The sequence below is a fragment of the Homo sapiens genome, chromosome X (assembly GCF_000001405.40).
Source record: "Homo sapiens chromosome X, GRCh38.p14 Primary Assembly".
Classification (NCBI taxonomy): domain Eukaryota; kingdom Metazoa; phylum Chordata; class Mammalia; order Primates; family Hominidae; genus Homo; species Homo sapiens.
Window position 1 is genome coordinate 149,757,034 of NC_000023.11, and position 22,550 is coordinate 149,779,583.

Sequence of the window (22,550 nt, forward strand, 5' to 3'; positions counted from 1 at the left end):
TTTATAAAAGAAACCATACACAAGCACAGAGAACTAGGAAATGTGACGCCAACCATTTCTGAGTTGTCCTCAGACCTTTCCTCCCCTGAAGCCTCTAAGCTGGACTCGCCCACAAGACCCGCCTCTTCCCCCTGTGCGATACCTCGGAAATCCATCCCTCATCTCCAGCCTTTCAACCACTGCCCTAATTTGGCCTCACAATTCCTCTCACTTGGACTGTGACCAGAGCCCCCTAATAAGGCTAGATGCTCTGGGACCCCATACTTGCTCAAGAAGGGCTATAGAACACTTACCAGGGGTAATTGCCACAGAGAAAGGCTGGCAAGAGCCAGGCAGGAGATCAGCCCCTTGTCAAGGAGGCTGGAGTTCAGAGTAGGGGGTTTAGCCATGGCTGGTGGAACAGGGAGGTTTCTCAGGGAAGTGAGACCATGGCTGAGAGGTCTCTCACCAGCCCCTCAGGGGGCAGGTTTGGGGCACCTGGAAACCCTCAAGACCTATCCACGGATGGGCACAGGTATGCTCCCATCTGCTCTGCCCTGTGATGTTCAGAATTGTCCCAGTCCTGTGTGATGTGTGTCCATACAGGAGGCTGCTGTGGAGGATGCTGGACCCTGAAATGCCTGTAGGAGAGGATGTGGGGTGCATGGAACGTCCTAGCTGCTGCAGCCCTGCAGTCCTTAGGAAACACAGGGTGAGCATTCTCCATATCCCTTTGCTCTGTCCAATAAGGGACATGTGGTGTTGCTGTTTCCACCAATGTCCCCTGTGGGGTCCAAGGGCCCACCCTGAGACCAGCAAGATGCAAGTTCTTGAGTACATAGCCAACGCCAATGGGAGGGATCCCACTTCTTACCCATCCCTCTGCGGACCTGAGTCTCCATCCCTCAGATTCCCAACGCCGAATGAGGAGGCACCTCAGTCTAAGATGGGGGCGGGGTGGGCCCCCTGTCCTGGGGTGCTGGGTCCCCTCAGGCCTCTCTCATCTCCCAGGAACTCATAGCATGCAGGATCACTGCCAGGCACTTGCCGGTACACCAGGTACTTTTCCTGCACCCAATCTTGGGTGAGGAGCTTCTTGGGCTCCCCAAAGAGGAAGTGCTCCCTTCCAGCATACACCCCCATAATGCTGAGGACTTCCCACATAACCTCCATGGGACGCAGTTCCCCTCCATGAAGATCACACCCAGGACTATTATCAGGAGGCCAGACTTGGGCATGCTCTGCTCATCACCCAGTATGCCATCATAAGAGAGGCCGAGGGAAACAGAGGAAGCTGGGATTTGTGAGATCCCTTTTTCTTGGCATGTGAGAGGGTACCTTCTTACCTTCAGTCTTCACCAATATTCCTCTCCTTGACTACTGGTGAGAGGTGACAGCATGCTGGCAGCCCTCACAGCCCTTGCTCACTCTCGGCGCCTCCTCTGCCTGGGCTCCCACTTTGGCAGCACTTGAGGAGCCCTTCAGCCCACTATTGCACTGTGGGAGCCCCTTCCTGGGCTGGCGGAGGCTCCCTCAGCTTGCGGGGAGGTGTGGAGGGAGAGGCGCAGGCGGGAACCGGGGCTGCGCTCGGTGCTTGCGGGCCAGCACGACTTCCGGGTGGGTGTGGGCTGGGCAGGCCCGCACTCAGAGCGGCCGGCTGGCCCCCCCTGCCCGGGGCAGTGAGGGGCTTAGCACCTGGGCCAGCAGCTGCTGTGCTCAATTTCTTGCCTGGCCTTAGCTGCCTTCCCGCGGGGCAGGGCTCGGGACCAGCAGCCCACCATGCCTGAGCCTCCCCCTCGCTCCGTGGGCTCCTGTGCTGCCCGAGCCTCCTGGACGAGCGCCACTCCCTGCTCCACGGCACCCAGTCCCATCGACCACCCAAGGGCTGAGGAATGCCGGCGCACGGCGCGGGACTGGCAGGCAGCTCCACCTGTGGCCCTGGTGCCCGATCCACTGGGTGAAGCCAGCTGGGCTCCTGAGTCTGGTGGGGACTTGGAGAACCTTTATGTCTAGCTAAGGGATTGTAAATACACCAATCGGCACTCTGTATCTAGCTCAAGGTTTGTAAACACACCAATCAGCACCCTGTGTCTAGCTCAGGGTTTGTGAATGCACCAATGGACACTCTGTATCTAGCTGCTCTGGTGGGGACTTGGAGAACTTTTATGTCTAGCTCAGGGATTGTAAATATACCAATTGGCACTCTGTATCTAGCTCAAGGTTTGTAAACACACCAATCAGCACCCTGTGTCTAGCTCAGGTTTTGTGAATGCACCAGTTGACACTCTGTATCTAGCTACTCTGGTGGGGACTTGGAGAACCTTTGTGTCCACACTCTGTATCTAGCTAATCTAGTGGGGAGGTGGAGAACCTTTGTGTCTAGCTCAGGGATTGCAAAGGCACCAATCAGCACCCTGTCAAAACAGACCACTGGGCTCTCTGTAAAATGGACCAATTAGCAGGATGTGGGTGGGGCCAGATAAGAGAATAAAAGCAGGCTGCTCCAGCCAGCAGTGGCAACCCACTCAGGTCCCCTTTCGCACTGTGGAAGCTTTGTTCTTTTGCTCTTTGTAATAAATCTTGCTGCTGCTCATCCTTTGGGTCCACACTGCCTTTATGAGCTGTAACACTCACCGCGAACTCACCGCGAAGGTCTGCAGCTTCACTCCTAAAGCCAGCGAGACCACAAACCCACCAGGAGGAACGAACAACTCCAGACGCGCCACCTTAAGAGCTGTAACACTCACCGCGAAGGTCCGCAGCTTCACTCCTGAGCCGGCGAGACCACGAACCCCACCAGAAGGAAGAAACTCCGAACATCAGAAGGAACAAACTCTGGACACGCCGCCCTTAAGAACTGTAACACTCACCGTGAGGGTCCACGGCTTCATTCTTGAAGTGAGTGAGACCAAGAACCCACCAATTCCGGACCCACTGGCAGATCCTGGACTCCACCCTGTGCTGAGCAGGTGTCTATCCCTCTGCTGACCTGACAACCTGCCTCAGACCAAGGGCCCTACCTCTCTGAGATGTGGGAGGCACAAAGTGAAGGGGCACTACACGGACAGCCCTGCATGGCATGCCAAAGGCTGACAGATGGAGCAGATTTCAGGGTGCCTGCTCTCTCTGGGTGTCCTCCAGGTATTCAGATTTACTCATGACAATGCCTGCCCCTTTCCCTTCATCCCCTGGAGGCCCCAGGTAGGGGAGGTATGTGCCATGCTCACATTTCTGCCAGGTGGTTGGGGGTGGGAGGTTTCATGGAGGTGAGCATCTGGTTCCAAGGGGGTGATGATAGGTAGGTCAGCAGTGGAGCCACAATTGGTCAGCAGAGGAAGGAGTCCCAGGATCTTTAGGACTCAAGATGTGAACCCCTCGTGAGGACTGGAGATACCCCCATCCCATAATGAAGGGATCCCACAGAGTCTCTCTGTCCCCTGTCCTTGTCTCTTTGGAGACCTGATCATGGGTGGCTCTAAGTGGCAAGGTCACTTGTACCACAGGCAGGAAGTTGGGGAATCTTCAGGGAGATTCCCTGAAGATTGGTGTAAAGGGAAGTCTTGGTGTAAAGGGATATGTTTGCTCATCTCAGGGGTTGGGAGTAGAGGAAGGACAGGCCCTGGCAGAAGTAAAGATGAAAAACCCACAGGAGGACTTTGGAATCCCCAGAACAGAAGGGTCCAGCCTCTGCTGTCAGCCCTGGACAACCACATGATGGGGTGATGGGACGTGGGGCCCCTTACTTCTGTTTTGGAATCTTGGGCAGGTGAGCACTATGTTCTCAGAGGACGACTTCCAGTCAACAGAAAGAGCCCCGTATGGTCCACAACTACAGTGGTCCCAGGATCTGCCAAGAGTCCAGGTGAGAAACCTGAGGGAGGATTGAGGGTTCCTCCTGGCCAGAACACAGATGGCTGCTTAGAAATCTGCTCTGCCCCTGCTGTCTCCCCAGAGAGCATGTGCAGGACTATCTGCTGAGATCCCTCTCTTATACTGGGATCATTGGTCTCAGGGAGGGGGAGGCATTGGTCTGAGAGGGCTGCACTTAGGTCAGCAGTGGGAGGGTCCCAGGCCATGACCAGAATCAAGGTGAGGGCTGACGGGACAGCACTTACCAAAAACATGGGACTCAGCCCTTCCCTGCCCCTTCTGTCAGCCATGCGAAGTCCCCGGGAACCATGGGTGTTTCCACTTCCCTGATCTCCTCTTCTGATGTCTCCTGGAGATAGAGCTTTGGTTTAAGGAGATGGCCTTAGGTCAAAAGAGGGAGGGTCCCAGGCCCAGATACACACCAAAGATGGGGACCAAACAGGCTCCTTACCCCAGCACACATGGACCCAGCTGACTATCACCACCTCCTGCTGTCCTTTTTGGGTATCCCTGAATTGTGGATGGGTTTTGCAGGCCAAGACCACCATCTCCCAGAGAAATCCAACTAGGAAGTGGGGAGCTGCCTCTCTTTCCTAGAGTCCTGCCTGGGGCCTCCCAGGACTGATGGCAGGGGCAGGATTTCTACCTCAGGGATAACTTGTTGTCTGAGTCCTCCCTCAGTGCTCTGGGACTTCTCCTGGGGTTGACCTGAGGCTCCACTCCTCAGACCACAACCCACTCCTCTCTGACACCCCAAAGGCAGAGCGAGGATGCACCACATTTGGGCACTGTGCCTTGGAACTCCAAGGGCCAAGGTCCCCACTGAACTGGAGTCCAAGGCCTCCTGAGTCCTCCCTCTTCCTCCCATTGATCCTGGCAGGGCTGAACCAGAGATCCCCTCTGCGGACCTGAGTCTCCATCCCTCAGATTCCCAACGCCGAATGAGGAGGCACCTCAGTCTAAGATGGGGGCGGGGTGGGCCCCCTGTCCTGGGGTGCTGGGTCCCCTCAGGCCTCCCTCATCTCCCAGCAGGGACTGGGCCTTATCTGTGCTCCCCCTAGGCCATTCTCATGATACCAAGCCTCTTCCCTCGGTCAGCCCGGGATGCGGAAATCAGGATCCACTTGCCTGGCAGCAATGCCAGGAACTTCCCAGGGCTGACAGCAGAGAGGGAGCCTCGCTCTGTGGGGCCTCAGCCCTCCCTCGGGGTCCTGACCTTGATGCCTGGCAGAACCTGGGTCCTGCCCCCCCCAACCAGCCCTGCCCTGGTCACACCAAGCTCTGACCCCACAGTCCCTTGAGGCTTAAGCGGCAGGGGGCAGAAGCCGAGGGGGGTGTCGGAGGGGACGGCCCAGCCTGAGAAGTCCATCCCCATGGGGTGATCCAGGGCTGGCAGCAGAGGCGGTGCTGGATTATCTGGGGTCCTCTATCTGGGGAGGGAGCGTCCTCAGTCCTCCCTCAGCATCTCATCTTGCCTCCTCACAGAGCCTGGGCCCGCTGCCCTCAGCGGATCACAAGCCGCCCTTCAGAACCGGGCTGTCACTTCTCTCTGACCCCCTAATGTGCAAGTCCGCGGTACCAAGCCCGGAGGTCCTTTGCGTTGACTGCAGGGACAAGGATGGACTCTGGGGCCCCTCTATCAGGATGGGGTGGAACCTCTCCATAATTTCTCAGAGTCCTGATGTTGATGTCTGGAAAGGCCAGGGCCCCACCCTTTACGGAACTGCCTCTGCCCGGGTCACACCATAGACTCGCAGAGTCTCCTTGGGCATTGAGGAGGGGGATTGTCTCAGCCTGATAATTTGGTCCCCTGTTGTTTCAGGGCTGGCTCCAGGGTTGGCGCTGGATTATTTGGGGCCCTCTATCTGGGTAGGAGGACTCCTCAGTCCTCCCTCAGCTCTCACCTTGCCTCCTCATGGAGCCTGGGCCCGCTGCCTTCTGCCACTCTCAAGACACCCCTCAGAGAGATGCTCTCTCTTCTCTCAGATCCCAGAGGCAGAAGCCAGTGGAGGTCACATCTGGCCCCCATGCCTGGAGCTTCCCTGGATTGACAGCAGTGGCAGTACTCGATTCTGCTGGGGTGGGGGCAGGGGGAAGAGTAATGGCGAGGGGTGCAGATGTGGTCGAGGGTCATGGAGGTGCCTCAATCCTCCCTCAGGTTTCTGTCCTTCATTCTCTGCAGAGCCTGGAGCTCCGTCCTCTGCCAATGGTGTCTCCTCTCCTCAGACCAAGTCTCTGACTCTGAGTCCCCTGAAGTGGCAGTGAGGGGGAGGTGTCAGGTCGGGGGACAACATTGCCAAGGTCTTCCAGGGCTGACAGGAGGGACCGAGCTGGATTCTGTGGCCCCTCTATGTGGGGACGGTGGACCCTCACTTCTCACTCAGGAGACTCTTCCTCCTGGCTCCCAGCTCTTTGATGAAGTGATGGGTGGGAGATGCTCTGTTTCTGTCACCTCTGAGCATTTGCCAACTGCACCCCTTGCAGAGAATGGCCGTGGGTTCCAGGCTAGGTGCTTCCTGGGGGTCTTCAGCACCTGTGATTTTAGTGACCTCTGGGAGAAGACCCACACCTTCCTACAGGGGCTTCTCCCCAACCAGAGCTAAAGGCTGGCCCTGTTGGTTCTGGGATGGGTGTACCAAAGTCCTCCTGTGGGTTATTCATCTTTACATCTGCTGGGGCCTGCCATTCCTCGGCTCCCAATCCCTGAGATGAGCAGACATTTGCCCTTTACACCAAGACCCCATCTCCCTGTGGGTTCCCTAACTTCCTGCCTGTGGTACAAGTGAGCTTGACACTTAGGGCCACCCGTGATCAGGTCCCCATAGAGCCAAGAACAGGAGACAACAAGATTCTATTTGCTAGATCATTTTTTTGTAAGACTGTTGTAAGAAATGTATTGAATTGCCTGACACAGTGCCTGGCATATATTGAATATTTAATAAATGGTAGTTTTCAAATATTATTTTTAGACCACATCTTACTATAACCTCCTTTGGGAATTACTTCTGTTGTTATCTAAAATATCTCAGAGAATATGCAGCTCAATAGAACATATAATATCAAATTAGTCAAAATTGAAGCTTTGTGAATAAAAGTTAGTAAAATTTCCCTCCGAGATGGCCTATTATTTAATTTGGGCGTATAAGAGTCTTCCCCATCTGGATGCAGCTCAAAGATCTTGAAAGTTGAGTGAAAGACCAACTCATTCTCTCCCTCCCAGCTGCTTTTCCATCCAAACCACTATTTTCATTCAATTTACTCCTATCCCAAACCTAGCCCTTGATTATCTGAGTTCTCCATTTCAGACCAAGGCCTTACCTCCCTGAAGCCCCACTCTCACCCCACTGCAGAAGTGAGAGCATGCCACAGCCAGCCTCTTGCCAGGGTCATCCTAGGGCTGACAATCGGCAACAGCCAGAATCCTGGAGGGCCCTTCTTTTCTGGAGTGTTGAGTTCCTTCTAACTTTATTCTTACAGGCTCTACTCACTTCCACAGTTACTTATGCCAGCACCTTTTCTCTTGATATTCATTAAAGAGGTTGTTTCATATCTTTGTAATATATAGTTATTCTGTTTTGTCATATTGTCCATTCTTTCCTGGGATATTCAGACCTCCTAAATTATTTTTTTATATTTGCATACTTTAGGGGTCACAATTGTTCTGAGCATTTTGACAAATGCATAGTGTTATATTCACCATTACAGTATCATACAGGATAGCTTCATCACCCTAATAAATCCCCTGTGCTTACCCTATTCAATCCTTCCCCCTCACCCACCCAACCCCTGGAAGCAACTGATCTTTTTACTGTCTCTATAGTTTTGCCTTTTCCAGAATGCCAAATAAATTGTATCATCATACACTATCTAAACTTTTCAGGCTGGTTTTTTTCACTTAGGGATAGGCATTTAATATTTATCCATGTCTTTGTATGGCTTGTGATGTGGTTTGGCTGTGGCCCCACCCAAATCTCAACTTGAATTGTGTCTCCCAGAATTCCCATGTGTTGTGGGAGGGACCCAGGGGGGAGGTAACTAAATCATGGGAGCTGGTCTTTCCCATGCTATTCTTGTGATAGTGAATAAGACTCAAGAGATCTGACGGGTTTATTAGGGGTTTCCACTTCTGCTTCTTCCTTATTTTGTTTCTCTTGCCACTGCCATATAAGAAGTGCCTTTCGCCTCCTGCCATGATTCTGAGGCCTCCCCAGCCATGTGGAACCGTAAGTCCAATTAAATCTCTTTTTCTTCCCAGGCTTAGGTGTGTCTTTATCAGCGGCATGAAAACAGACTAATATAGCTTGACAGCTCATTTCTTTTTATTGATTAATAGTGTTCTATTAAATGGTTGTACCACAGTTTGTTTATCCATTCACCTACTGAAGAACAACTTAGTTCAATCCATTACTGACAATTATAAAATAAGCTATGATACAAATTTATATGCAAGATTTTGTGTAGAATTAAAATTTCAAATTACTTGGATTAATACCTAGGGGTGTGTTCTCTGAATCACATGGTAATACTATGTTCAGCTTTGTAAGAAACTCACAAACTGTACTACAAAGTGACTGTACTATTTGCATTCCCACCAGCAATGAATGATTCTTTTTGCTCAGCATCCGTGCCAGCAATTGATATTGTCTGTTTTTTTTAACTTTAGACACTCTAAATATGAAATTAATGTAGCTATTCCAGCTTTCTTTTGTCAGTGTTAGAATACCTTTTTCAACCTCCTTACATTGAACTTATGTGAGTCCTTATAATTAAAAATGGGTTTCTTATAGACAATATGTTCTTGAGTATTATTTTTTATTAATTCTGACAACCTGTCTTTTATTGGTATACTTAGACCATTCAAACTGAAAGAGATTATTAATATAATTCATTAATATCTACCATGCATGTAACTGTTTTCTATGTATTTAATTTTTCTTTATTCCTCTTCTTTTTCTGTCTTCTTTCGCTTTATAAAACATTTAGTACATGTAAAATTACACCTTTTTTAAAAAAATTAGTCTTTGTCTTAGAGTTTATAATATATATTTTAATAACATGCCATAAAACAACACTATACTGCTTCATATGTACTATAGATACCTTATAAAAGAGTATACTCAGTTCCTTCATTGCATTGCTTGTAACATTACAATCATTTATTTCATTTATCCATATACACTAGTTGTCTGATACATTGTTACTATTATTAACTTAAATAAATAGTTACCTTTTAGGTCAGTTAAGAATAAGAAAGCATTTTATTTTACCTTTATTTATTTCTTCTCTGGTATTCTTTCTTTATCTAGACCTAAACTTAGGACCTATATAAGATTCCTATAATTGATAGAGAAAAGTAGAAAATCAGTAAGAGCAAAGAAGATCTAATGACCATTAAATGCAGAGTATCATTTGAAAATTTCAACACATTTTATTTTAAAAAATTCTCAGCAAATTAAAAATATATGTGAGCATTATCAATTCATTAAAGGAAATCTACAAAAAAACTAGAGCTAAGAATATGCTTAATGATGAAATACTGAATGTTTTCCATCTAAGGTCAGGATCAAGGCAAAAATAACGGATTTCATACTTCTCCTCAACTTTTTCTATTAGAGGTTCAAACTATTGCAATAGAGCAAGAGAAAGAAATGAAAAACATGATTCAAAAGGAAGAAATACAATGGTCTTTACTGCAAACAACATGATGGTCAGTGTGGAAAATCCTAAGGATTCTACAAAGAAAAAAGGAAAACTGCAATTAATAAGTGAATATACCACGGTTATAAGATACACATTTAATACAAAGAAATTAATACTATAGCTCTATACTAACAGCAAACACATGAAAATGACAAAAAGCAAGTGCTTTATGAATAGCAAAACATAAAATACTTTGGAATACATTTAATGAAAAGTTTGTAAGACCTGTACACTGAAAACTACAAAATATGACAGAAAAATTTGAAAACATCTAAATAAATGAAGAGATAATCCATGCTCATACCTGAGAAAAATCTAAATTGTTGTTTTATTCTATTGCTTATAATTCAGTACTACCATTATTTATATTGTTGCTCAAATTTTCCAGCTTTTGGGAGCCCTTTTAGTCTTTGGAAGCTCCTGTACCCTTTTTATATACTGCATCATTTCTTAAGCACGTCTTTATTTTCCTGCGCCACAAAATGCTAAGCTCACCTTGTATTTTCTATGCCCCAGTCCTAGAACCAAATAAATAAATAAATTTGGACTTCCTCAAAAATAAAATAAAGACAGGCCACAGACTGGGAGAAAATATTTGCAAAGCACACATCAAAACACTGACTTGCACCCAGAACATACAGAGAACTCTTAAAAACTCAAAACTGCAAAAAGAAACACCTAAAAATTGGCAAAAGAGTTGACAATTTGCGAAGGGGATATACACATGGCGAAAAAGCACAGGAAAAGATGCTCAACGCCATTACAGGTTAGGGAAGACAAACTACAACCAGGATGAGGGCCCGAAACACATGGCTTCAGAATGGTGAAACTCAGCAACACTGACGAGGCCACGTGCCTGGGAGGATGCAGAGGAACTGGGACACTCCAGTGTTACTGGCGGGAAGGCAGGTGGTACGGGCACTGTAGAAAATGGTTTGGCCATCTCTGATGCAGTTAAAAGCGCACTTCCCGTGGGACTTGGCTGCCCCACTCCTGGGTATAAGATTTACCCCCAGAGAAGTGAAAGCGCGCAGCCTTGTAGAAACCCACACACCAGTGTTTGTAGCAGTCTTGTTTGCATTTTGGATAGCGGCCTTGTTTGGTTTTCACAAACCACCCTCAGCGGACAGTCAGATAAACTGTAGGCATCCATACAATGGAATACCACTCAGAACTGAGAGGGAACGACCTGTGGATACAGGGAGGGAACAACTTGGATGAATCTCATTAGAGACATTATGTGGATGGCGGGAAGCCAGTCTCAACAGGTTACTTGTCTCGCGATGCCATCTACATAAAGTTCCAGCAGAGACAAAAGTACAGTGACAGAGAACAGATCAGTGTTTGCCGGGGCTAATGGTGGGGACGGTGTGATAGTGAAGGGACAGCACGGAGAGTTTTGCAGGGTGACAGACCTCTTCTGCATCCTGCCAACGGCTGTGCGAATCTACTTGTGTGAAGACTCAGGGAACTCACACCAAAGGAAGACGGTCACTTTTCCTACTGTATGATAGATAATTAATAAAAAGGGAGAACGGAGGAGTGTCGTCCCAGGAGGCAGGGCAGGAGGGCGAAGACGTGTCACAGGGGAGCCTGGCCAAGTGGCGCCCCCGGAACTCGTCCTCTGGGCTTGTGTGTGGATGAGACAAGGTCTACCTGGTACGACAGGGACATACTGGGAATGCGCCCTTGCCGTGGAGGCGGGGACCCGGCAGCGCTACGTATCCAGCATCAACCTGTATCCAGCATCAACCCGCCAAGTTCACTAACTTGGTAGGGGTGAGGTTAGGGATCCTTAGGAGCCCAGGCAGCCAGACTTTCTGGGGAGCCCATTCCCATTTGTGTTGCCAAAGTACCCCCAGCAGGTTGTGGGAATGTTGCCTGTGAAGAGAGTCTGTTGGGGTGAGATCTTGTGTGTGTGCACAGGGTGACAGTTGTGTCCCATTTCCCGGGAAGCTGTGATGGCAGCAGAACCTAGAGGAGCCTGAGAGAGTGTGGGAGAGTGGGCCTCTGGAAGAGTAGAGGCTGCGGAGCCAGGTGCAGGGCTGTCTGTCACCCAAAGGAAGAGGGACTGATGACTCACTGAGCGTGTGTGTCCCCTGGTGGCAGCAGGCCCCATAGTGAACATACCATACCTTTTCTGTCCTGAGCGATGCTCCCAGCAGTCCTGGGAGATGGAACGGTCCTTATTCGGCTCACGGGAAGGACCGCCTTAACTGGACAGACACAGCAAGGTGCTAAAGATGCCTTCCATCAGAGGCCAGGTTGGAAGCTCTAAAGAGACTTCTCTTGCTGTTCTCTCACCCACCCCCAGGTTGTGTGTGTCCCGCTGTGGATTCTCATGTCCTTTCTGTGCCTGGTGGTCCTCTACTACATTGTGTGGTCCGTCTTGTTCTTGCGCTCTATGGATGTGATTGCGGAGCAGCGCAGGACACACATAACCATGGCCCTGAGCTGGATGACCATCGTCGTGCCCCTTCTTACATTTGAGGTAAGCGTTCCACGGGAAGCCTCTTCAGCCCCTGAAGCTTGCGCTTCCCCTGACAGGATTCTGCACCCCTAGAAAGGCAGCCTCTGTCCCTCGAGCTCACAGTGAGCCCACTCCAGGAGAGGGGAGAGAACACAGCCATCTCCGAGAGGGAGCTTCGGTGAAAGGAGAGCATCCTTCCTTTCTCTTGGGGGCAGCACGTGGGGCTGGCAGGGAGAAGAGTGCACCTTTTTAGCCATGGTGCCTCTGTATGGCTCCAGTTTCCACTCTGGGGAAAGCAGAGTGGGATGTCAGATTTGTGTATTGGAGTCACGTGGAGAATTCTAGAATGGGAGCTGTTGACTCCTTAGAACAAACACCCGGAGGAGTTTGCCATAAAACTGCTGGCACTGGGAACTTTTCAAGTGGATAGGCTATTGCCGAGCTCTGAAGAGGGACATAAAAGCTCATTTCGAGCTTTCCCCAGGGATAGGTGGTTTCCTGCCTTTTTCTGGCGGTGCTGATGTTCCCTCTTGTGGGAGCTCACGCGGGGGTGGGGTGGTGGGGAGGAACTGCCTAATGAAGTCTGGCTTCCGCCTCTGCCCATTTTCGGTGCTGGCATCAACCGGGACTATGTCTCTTTCTTTAGATTCTGCTGGTTCACAAACTGGATGGCCACAACGCCTTCTCCAGCATCCCGATCTTTGTCCCCCTTTGGCTCTCGTTGATCACGCTGATGGCAACCACATTTGGACAGAAGGGAGGAAACCACTGTATGTACTCAGCATTTCAGAAGTCCTTGGTGTGTGTCTGGGGGGGGACCAGGGAGTGGGGGGGGGGCGGATAGAAGTCTAGGAAGGGATGAGTCCCCGAGGGCCCCAATTTAGAAGCTTGTGTGGGAAAGTGAGGGCTGAGGAAATTCTGGGACCTTCTAAGGGAAGGGCATGCCGTAACTCTGGTGTTCTGCTGGCCTGCACCGGGACTTTTCTCGCAGTGCACGCTGCCATTTGAGGTAGAACCAGACACGGCAGGCAACCTCTCAGAGATCCCGTTCCCTCCTCTGCAAAATGGGGATCAAGACAGATTCTTCCCAGGCCCGGGAGGGTTTGATGGAAAATCCACATCTCCCACCCAAACCTGGGATTCATCCTAGGTCCCTGTTGGCCTCTCTGCCTCCCCCATATCCTTGCTGCCATCACCCGAGTCTTGCCTGTCTTGCCTTGCTAACACTCTATTCCCCTCCACCTGCTTGCTGAGGCAGACACTTCCAAAACGATCTCTGCAGAGGGTGCCTTCCTGGCAAGGCTGTGGGCTCCATGGCACGGAAGCCCAGAGCATTGCCCTTCGGAAAGCCAGTGGGTTTGGGGGCAGGGCCTCACTGCAGCCCAGCAGCCCGGGCTGTGCTTGCTGTTTGTGCCTCTGCCCCCTACCCCGCACCCGGGAGCAGGGAGGGCTTGCACCGAGCTGACACTCCAGTAGCCTACAGAGAGGAGTAGTGGGACTGGGAAAGTGGCTTTAAGGTGGCTCCATGAGTTCAGGCCCCCTCCTGGCCAGGACCCGTGCATGACTACCGCCCTCACGGATTCCAGAGGGTGACAGAAATCTTGTTCTTGGGTGGCACTGTCATCCATGAGTTTATCCTGGCTGGAGAAGATTAGCGGAAGACACCGTAGTCTGCGCACCACAGATATTTTGAGACTCACTGGAGCAGTAGTTCTCAAACTTGGGCATCCAGCAGAATCCCAAAAGGGCCAGGAAAAGGGGACCGCTGGAGCCCACCCTAGCCCGACTCAGTTTCTGGAGGTCTGGGCTGGGGCCCGAGAATGGCATCCCTAACTAGGCCCCGTGGACGCTGTCCCTGCCGGTCCGGGAACCCCACTCCAAGCACCACAGAGCTAGCATTTGCACTTCTTCCCCATTTTGGGTACTCAAGCCCTGTTCAGGCTTTGTGACTCAGGAGTCTGGATAAAGTATGTTATGACATTGTAGGAGTGAAACTTCTTGTTACGGAAAGAAAGTTAACAGGAAGGTCAGTTGAGCCTCGTGTGTGAAATAAAAAATTCTTATTTTTCAGGGTGGTTTGGTATCCGCAAAGATTTCTGTCAGTTTCTGCTTGAAATCTTCCCATTTCTACGAGAATATGGAAACATTTCCTATGATCTCCATCACGAAGATAATGAAGAAACCGAAGAGACCCCAGTTCCGGAGCCCCCTAAAATCGCACCCATGTTTCGAAAGAAGGCCAGGGTGGTCATTGCCCAGAGCCCTGGGAAGTATGTGCTCCCACCTCCCAAATTAAATATCGAAATGCCAGATTAGATGCCACTTCCGGGGACAGAGCTTAAGTGGACTGGGACGCACTCTCTCCGCCTTCCTCTGCCCCCTCGTTCACCCCGCAGACCAGAACCAGTACTGGAGCTGGGTCTCCAGGTACGTCCATCTCATGCCTTGTTTGCATCCAGCGCCTATCAGCCACTCACCACGACGGGACGCGGAAGTGGCAGGTGACGGGGGTGTGTGCCAGCAGATGCGGATGCCAGGAAGAGTGTGAGAACAGGGGTGGGATTACCGTCTGTCTGGGAGGGGCTCCAGGTACCCCTCTTCCCCGTCAGACCCACTGGGAGATGGCTGCTTGCCAGGCCCCCAGAAGGAACATCTGTCTATACGGTGCTGAAATCCCAATCAAAAGTATTGTTTAGAAATGTATTTCTCCACAGGGCTGACCTCCTGCAGCTCGCTGAGCACTCCCAGGTCCTCAGCACTCCCAGGTCGTGGCTGGGGCAGTCAGTAGGAACTGTAACTATGTCTCTGATGCACCACGTGTTTAGACACAGCACAGTCCTTTTTTCTGTTCCTACTGTGGAAGTAGTTTCTCTTTGGGCATGCTGACAGCAGTTTTTCATAGCCTCACGGATGAGCCCTTTCTACGGGAGTGACTCCATGCTTGTATACAGAGTATTTATACAAATGTTTTAGCATCTTCATATGCGGTGTTAACCCCTAGTTCTGTACAGCATATTCTGTTCAAGTATTTTTTTACAAGCTTGTGCTGTAGGCACATGCCTTCTGCTGCAGAAGTGGACGCCCGTGGCACACTCCCCCCCCCCCCCCCGTGGGGTGCCACGCCTTCATGGGACATTGCCACTTCTGCCCTGGAACTCGTGCAGGTACGTAGTAGCTGCTACTGCCAGAACGGCAACACCAAGCAAGAGATGGTCCATGCTTTTCTGACGTTCTCAGAATAGTGGCTAGCTTCAAACCTGACAAGCGCTGCTTGAAGCCGGAACACTAGAGAATGTTGCTGAGAGCAGAAACGGCCACGCGGGTCACGACTATGCGTGGGAAAGTCTCAAGCTTCCCTCCTGCCAGCAACAAGAAGGCTTTGGAGTAGGCATGATGTTTTCACGTGTGCGTGCCGTTTCTCCAAGCACTGCAGGTTCCACCGTGTGTCAGAGGCTGCAAGTTTAACATCCTCCTGCCTGAAAACAAATAGGTCCTTTGCTGAAAAGAGGGTAAAAAAAGAGCTTTGATCGTCTCAGCCAGGAGAAGAGGGTGGTGTTTTCACGCGGGCAACTGCTCGCCGGCCTACATGGGGTTAATTCAAGTCTGCTGCGAGCACGACTCCGCCCTTGGCACTGGCCTCCAGCAAGCCCTGTTCTCTTTGGGGTACAGGGGAACGGGATGGTTTAGACTTTCCTGCTCAGTGTGTAAAAAATGTAGCTAAAGCCACTATTTTTGCTCTCCTTAAGCTGTTCAATAAACCGGTTCCTCATTTTACACGTGCATGATGTGTATCTTCTTTGCTGGATGGGCCAGGAAACTGGAGTGGTCCTCTCAGCCAGCCTCAGAGGAAAGAAATCTCTAGCTGGCACAGGCAGCCAGTGAGTGAGGCTGGCGGCTGCAGGGGCACAGCCTTTAGAATGAGTCCTTCAGTGCACAGGTCCCAGGGTATACGGGGTAGTGGGAGGAAGGAGGGGACGCCTCGCAGATGCCACTGTTGGCTGGGCTACACCTTGCCACACTTGTTACTGCTTAGGAGGCTTTCTGGAGTGTTCCTTGGGTGCTACGACAATCTGCAGCAGACACTGTCCTTTCACCGCTCCTGGTCCTCGTTTGCTCCCCAGTGATGTCAACAGCTGAGGACTGCTCACGCTGCAACAAAAGGCTCTGCAGTCGCTGTCTAGCTTGCCCTAGTCGTCTCTAGAGTTCTGCCTGAACTGAAACTCAAGTGGGGTTCAGCTCATGACTTGTGGCAATTGACCAGGAAATTCACCAGTTGCTGTGGCTGGAAGGATTTTCAGTCCTGTGGGTTGTAACCAGAGGCCACAGGTGGATTCTGCCTTAGGCTCATGAGATTTCCGACTTGCTGTTGAAGAAAATGCCTTGTGAAGTGACAACAGTAGCTCTGACCCAACTGCCGGTGCCTCGCTAGTTCCTATACGTCCCACTGGATCCTCACAGCCCCGGGAAGCAGGTGCTACTACTCTTATCCCCGGGAGGAGACAGAGGCCGAGAGAGGTTAAGTGACGTGCCCAAGTCACACAGCTCGGCAGCGGCCGGGTTGAGCATCAGCAGTCTGTTTGCAGACCCCTCACTGTCACCCCCTGAGCCAGTGCGCCTTGGGCCCTGCGGTCAGGATGTCTCAAGCGTGGAGGCATCACCGGTTCGTGGCAGTCTCTGGAAGGTCACTGAGCTCTGTGCCCAGAATCGAGTCGGGGGAGTCTGTGCAGAGGTGGCCCTGTGTGTGGGGACAGTGTGTGACACAGACACTGCTTTGGATGGACACCTCTCCCGTGACCTCCTAGCATCCAATCCCAAAGGAACAACTGTTGCAGAGATGGACCGCTGGACACAAACCCACGTGCGTTTCTCTGGAGACACTGGCCAAGGAAAACAAAACATGCTCGAAGGCCAACAGCTGCATGCCCCACCGCGATGTGACCGCAGACACCCGGGGTGTAGAAGGGTCTCTGCCTGGTGGGGGGACACGTGCAGGCCGAGGAGAGGCAGGAAGGAGGCTGCCTCCGACTCCCCACTGGACTGCATGGCGACGGCGTGTGGTGGGGCAGTCAGCTAAGCCATTTGCCTAAGGGGCTGTCGGGCATCTGCGTGCTGGGGACCGACAGTGTGGGTGTGTTAGGAGGATCTGTATGGAGCACATTGCTGCCTCTGGCTAGGACAGGGTGGAAAGGGTGGCGTGGCTACAGCCTGACCCATGGGCACCGTCCTACCCTTTGTTCTGTGCTTCCGAGTGTCAGTCATGTGCTGGGGTCTGTGGGCCCATGACTCAGACGGTGAGCTCTGACCTTCCTGAGCCAGGGCTTTGCTGTAGTTGTGCCTGGCTCAGGAGCTCTAGGACAAGGGGACCGCTCCAGGTCTGCATCTACGGTGTGGCAGGGCCCCTCGGCACTCTTGTGCACTAGTGTCATCTTTCCCATTGAAATGACTGTGAGGACCAGAATGTGCACATGCAGATGGGCAGCTACTTGTCTGCCTTGGCCCTTTATTACACAACTTGCTGGGGGTGGAGATGCCACCCCCCGGCAGTCAGAGCCCCTTTATGATGTCATGGGGCTGGTTACATGACTGCCAAGGGGTGCTGCTGGCCACACTGCACTAGCAAGTTTGCCAGATGGAGGACAAGCGATCATTGAGTATGGCTCGCTGTGAAGAAAGAAATTCGAGAGGACAGGATCATGGCTTGGAAAGGGTGCCTTTCCCTCCCCAGTTGCAGTCAGAGACCTACCTTCACCCAGCAGATCCTTCCCCTGCCTGGGACGACCCGGGGTCCACTGGGAGCCCTAACTTGAGGCTGCTGACAGAAGAAATCGCTTTCCAACCTCTGGCCGAGGAAGCTTCGTTCAGAAGGCCGCACCCTGACGGTGACGTCCCGCCCCAGGGAGAAGATAATCTCCTCTCCCTCCCCTTTCCACAGAAACTGTGGAGACTGGTCAGCAGCAACCAGTTTTCGTCCATCTGGTGGGATGACAGTGGGGCTTGTAGAGTGATCAATCAAAAACTCTTTGAAAAGGAGATTCTCAAAAGGGACGTCGCACACAAAGTGTTTGCCACAACTTCGATAAAGAGCTTCTTCCGCCAGCTAAACTTGTATGGCTTCCGAAAACGGCGTCAATGCACTTTCAGGACCTTCACCCGCATTTTCTCCGCAAAAAGGCTGGTCTCCATCTTGAATAAGGTAATGAACGACAAGCCTCTGGAGGGGTTAAGTCGGTGGGCTCTGGGGCCTGGTCGGGTGGAAGTCCCAGGACTGCCTCCTGGGAAGTGGGCGACCTCAGGCAGGGTGTGGGGCCATCGCTGTGGGCCTGTGTCCCCCTCTGGGTGGAGGTGACATGAACTAAGAGTGAATGTGGGGAGAGGGCTGAGGATGGTGCGGGCCCCTCTCGAGTGTGTAAAATATCACAGGTGCCAAGTAGCCGTATCTGCGTGTCGTCCTCCCCGGGGCCAGCCATGTCATCTGGCGGTTGCTGTGTCCCCCTGACTCCACAGCACATTACCCTGTGAGGTGAGCAGGCCAGGGGAGTCTGGTATTTGTACCACTGTCACCCTAGCTGGTGTCTGGAGAGGTGCTCAAGTGGAAGCACTGAAGGGCGCCTGGCGCAGGAGGTGCAGATGCTCCTGCTGCCCTTGGTAGGTGGGCCCCTGGTGTGGAAGAGCCAGTACCCAGGGCCTCCAACCCAGCCGGGGTGCATTCTGTTGCCAGCTGACACTGCATGGGGGAGGCCCAGAATCTTCTTCCCTCCTGGTCTGCAACTTCAAAGACCCTTTCCGCCGGCCATGGACACCCTAATCTGCCATTTTGAGGCTTTTTCCAAGACGGAAAGGCCCGCCACAACTTGGTAAACCTTGACGATGTGAACGCGAGTCCCCAGCTTCCTTTGGGGACTGGGACCTTTTCCAGAAAGGCCTCCTGGGCCAGTAGAGTTCTCTTGCACAGGGGCGTAGATGGTTGGTAGTTGTAGTCCATCCTTGTGACTTGCAGTTTCCTTTTGTTTATTTAAACTTTGACTTATAGTTAGAGTTCTACTGCCATCCTTACTTTCAAAGAGACTCCCCTCACCTCCTCGTGAGGATGAAGAGAAGAGTGGGTGTCAAGTCTGCACCAAGACATCAGGAGGAGGACAAGCCAGAAGCTGCTGGATCCTGTCTGGCACCAGCAGACACTGAGCAACAAGATCACACGTCTCCGAATGAGAATGACCAGGTCACACCGCAACACCGGGAACCGGCCGGTCCCAACACCCAAATCAGGAGTGGCTCTGCTCCACCAGCAACTCCTGTGATGGTGCCTGATTCCGCCGTGGCGAGTGACAACAGTCCAGTGACCCAGCCGGCCGGCGAGTGGTCAGAGGGCAGCCAGGCTCACGTCACTCCGGTGGCCGCTGTCCCTGGGCCTGCAGCGCTGCCCTTCCTCTATGTCCCTGGATCTCCCACTCAGATGAATTCTTACGGGCCTGTGGTGGCCCTTCCCACAGCGTCCCGTAGTACCCTTGCCATGGACACCACAGGACTTCCTGCACCTGGCATGCTGCCCTTTTGCCATCTCTGGGTACCGGTGACCCTAGTGGCTGCTGGGGCTGCACAGCCTGCTGCCTCCATGGTCATGTTCCCCCATCTCCCAGCTCTGCACCACCATTGCCCCCACAGCCACCGCACGTCACAGTACATGCCAGCTAGCGATGGGCCCCAGGCGTACCCAGACTACGCAGACCAGAGCACATAGAGGGCAGCATTTGGGCAGAATATGTGCTGGTCAATAAATGTGTCAGAAAATGAGTAATTTTCTGACTGCACAAAAAAGTCTTCATGGTCTCCATCCTTTTTCTTTCTTTGCAGTCCAGTACCCCCCTCCGACATCTTTGGCTTGCATGATAGAGACTTCAGCCTAACACGCCTCCCTGGAAAAGTGCCCAGGAGATACTCGAGCAGGTGCTGGGTTTTAGGAAGCCCCTCAGACATCCCGCCTCTACTCATTAAAAATTACCTGGAGCTGGCCGGGCGCAGTGGCTCATGCCTGTAATCCCAGCACTTTGGGAGGCCGAGGCGGGTGGATCACGAGCTCGGGAGATCGAGACTGTCCTGACTAACACGGTGAAACCCCGTCTGTACTAAAAATACAAAAAATTAGCCGGGCGTGGCGGCGGGCACCTGTAGTCCCAGCTACTCGGGAGGCTGAGGCAGGAGAATGGCATGAACCCGGGAGGCGGAGCGTGCAGCAAGCCGAGATCGCGCCACTGCACTCCAGCCTGGGCGACAGAGCAGGACTCCGTCTAAAAAAAAAAAAAAAAAAAAATTACCTGGAGTTGCTCGCTGAGTGCTAATTGTGCTGCTAGCATTGCCGGCCTAGGGTTCACAATGACTCTGTGTTACTGGCCATTCCTTGTCATGGCGGTGCCTTTATATAACAGGATCTTCACTTTACATACAGATGAGATCACGTCTGGCTTTGTCATTGGGTTAAAAAGTGCCCTTGATAGTTGTGGAGGTGACACATACTACCAAGGAGTCCTACGGGTTTGCAGTTTAGAGGGTGCTCATTAGTGTCTGGTGGACAGGATTTATGTTTGGCTTTTATGTCTGTACTGGATCTGGTGGGGTTTTTTACTTCCTTCCTTGATTCCCCCACTATGCCCCCACTTTTTCTTTCTTGTTTCCCTTCCTTCCTACTTTCCTTTCCTCTCCTTTTTTCTCTCTCTCTCTCTTTGCTTCCTTCTTTCCTTCCTTCCTTCCATCTCTCTCTCTCTCTGTGCTTGCTTGCTTCCTTCCTTCCTTCCTTCCTTCCTTCCTTCCTTCCTTCCTTCCTTCCTTCCGTGTCTCTCTCTCTCTCTCTTTCCCTCCCTTCCTTCCTTCTCCTTTCTTTTGGAGTCAAAAATTAATTTAAAAGATGTCATGTCATGTTTTAACTTAGGAAGCAGCCTTTTCTGCTCACTTGGGGTGTTCATCTTAGAACACATGCTATCATCGACGAACTTCTTTGACTGATCAGAGGAAATAGATTCAAGTTCTTACCGTAGACACAACTGGGCACAGACATCAAAAGAGCTCTGAAATCAGGGCGTGCAGAGAGCCCCAACACCCACACACCAGAACCCAGAGGTATCCCTGCCTGTGATTTTTAATTTGACAGTAGGTGGCAGAGTCCTGGGAGACGTGGGAAGAGGCCATAAGAGAATGCAGACATGGGAATGGATTAATCCAGAGTCCAGCCATGGTCTGCAGGTGGATCTCCCTGTCTCGGCCTGCTCACTTACAAATGGGTGCTCATTTACAAATCGGTGTGAATCACATTTCATCATTTGTGAGCTCCTTAGTTTCCAAGAAGTACAGTTTTCTCATGTGTTTCTTGGACTTTATGCATATGCCTCCAGAGTTTGAATCATGCAAAGATGCTGCCACTTAAAAACCTCTTTCCTACAAACTTACACCCCTCCGATCGTGGTTTTCCTGTGAATCTCAGCTGGGCACGATGGCTGACGCCTGTCATCCCAGCACTTTGGGAGACTGAGGCAGGTGGATCACGAGGTCAGGAGTTCAAGACCAGCCTGGCCAAGATGGTGAAATCCTGTCTCTACTAAAAATACAAAAAATAGCCGGGCACGTTGGCAGGCACCTGTAATCCCAGCTACTTGGGAGGCTGAGGCAGGAGAATCGCTTGAACTCAGGGGGCAGAGGTTGCAGTGAGTCGAGATCACGCCACTGCACTCCAGGCTGGGAGACAGAGTGAGACTCCATCTCCAAAAAAAAAAAAAAAAAAAAAAATACTGTTAGAAGAATGGAAAAAACTATATAGATGGAGAGAAAATATTAGTAATCTGATATCTGATAAAGAACTCATATGCTGAATAAATACCAAACATTTAACATTCAACCTTTGAAAACAAAGAATCCAACTAAAGATGTAAATGATTTGAAGACATTCACCAATGAAGACACGCAGAAATACACATACATTCACCAATGAAGATACACACATGAAAAGATGATCACCATAATTATTCATTAATAATGCAAATGTCAACAGCACTAAGATTCCTCTACCCACCTATTACAATGGATAGAATTCAAATACCTGAGAATATCAAATTCTGGAGAGGATGTGGGATTCTCATTCATAGCTGGTAGACAAGAAAAATGTTTCATTCACTCTAGAAGGCCTTTTGGCCCTTTCTTATGTAGTAAAACATAGACTTACCTTTAGATCCATCAGTCGTACTACTAGGTTTTACCTAAGTGAATTGGAAACTGGTTCTCACATGGAAAATCGTGTACACGAATGTATTAGTAGTTTATTCATAATCACCAACCAAGATGTCCTTGAAGAGGTGAATGGATAAAACCAATGGTACTTCCACAAACTGAAAGTGTATTCAAAGTTCAATCTACCCTCAAATATTCCAGGACAGGAAATTTTGGAGGCCAGTTCAGCCAAGTGGCAAGGGAAAATGAATCACCATCTTATCTCAACTCTTCCAATGCATCCAAAATGGGCAATTGTTTAACTCATTCTCCCAGGCTC

The 22,550-nt window shown here is 51.0% G+C and overlaps 1 protein-coding gene and 3 pseudogenes across 1 annotated transcript; 3 read left to right on the top strand and 1 right to left on the bottom strand.

The window, feature by feature from the left end:
• LOC100420322 (MAGE family member A10 pseudogene) lies at positions 976 to 1,628 on the bottom strand (annotated as a pseudogene).
• On the top strand, positions 3,737 to 4,265 carry LOC100420334 (MAGE family member A11 pseudogene; annotated as a pseudogene).
• Positions 11,850 to 15,793, top strand: TMEM185AP1 (transmembrane protein 185A pseudogene 1; annotated as a pseudogene).
• On the top strand, positions 17,035 to 19,834 carry HSFX1 (heat shock transcription factor family, X-linked 1). Its single transcript, NM_016153.3, has 2 exons — positions 17,035 to 18,212; positions 19,050 to 19,834. Exons 1-2 carry the CDS (start codon positions 17,649 to 17,651, stop codon positions 19,755 to 19,757), a joined length of 1,272 nt encoding a protein of 423 aa, NP_057237.1. The 5' UTR covers positions 17,035 to 17,648; the 3' UTR covers positions 19,758 to 19,834.
• The last annotated feature ends 2,716 nt before the right edge of the window (positions 19,835 to 22,550 follow it).

What these genes read in the sequence shown, in the direction of transcription:
- HSFX1 (NM_016153.3), top strand. Translation starts at nt 17,649, where the DNA reads ATGGAGGACAAGCGATCATTGAGTATGGCTCGCTGTGAAGAAAGAAAT. An exon ending in TGGTCTCCATCTTGAATAAG is followed by an intron (nt 18,213 to 19,049) that starts GTAATGAACGAC and finishes TTTGACTTATAG; the next exon opens with TTAGAGTTCTACTGCCATCC.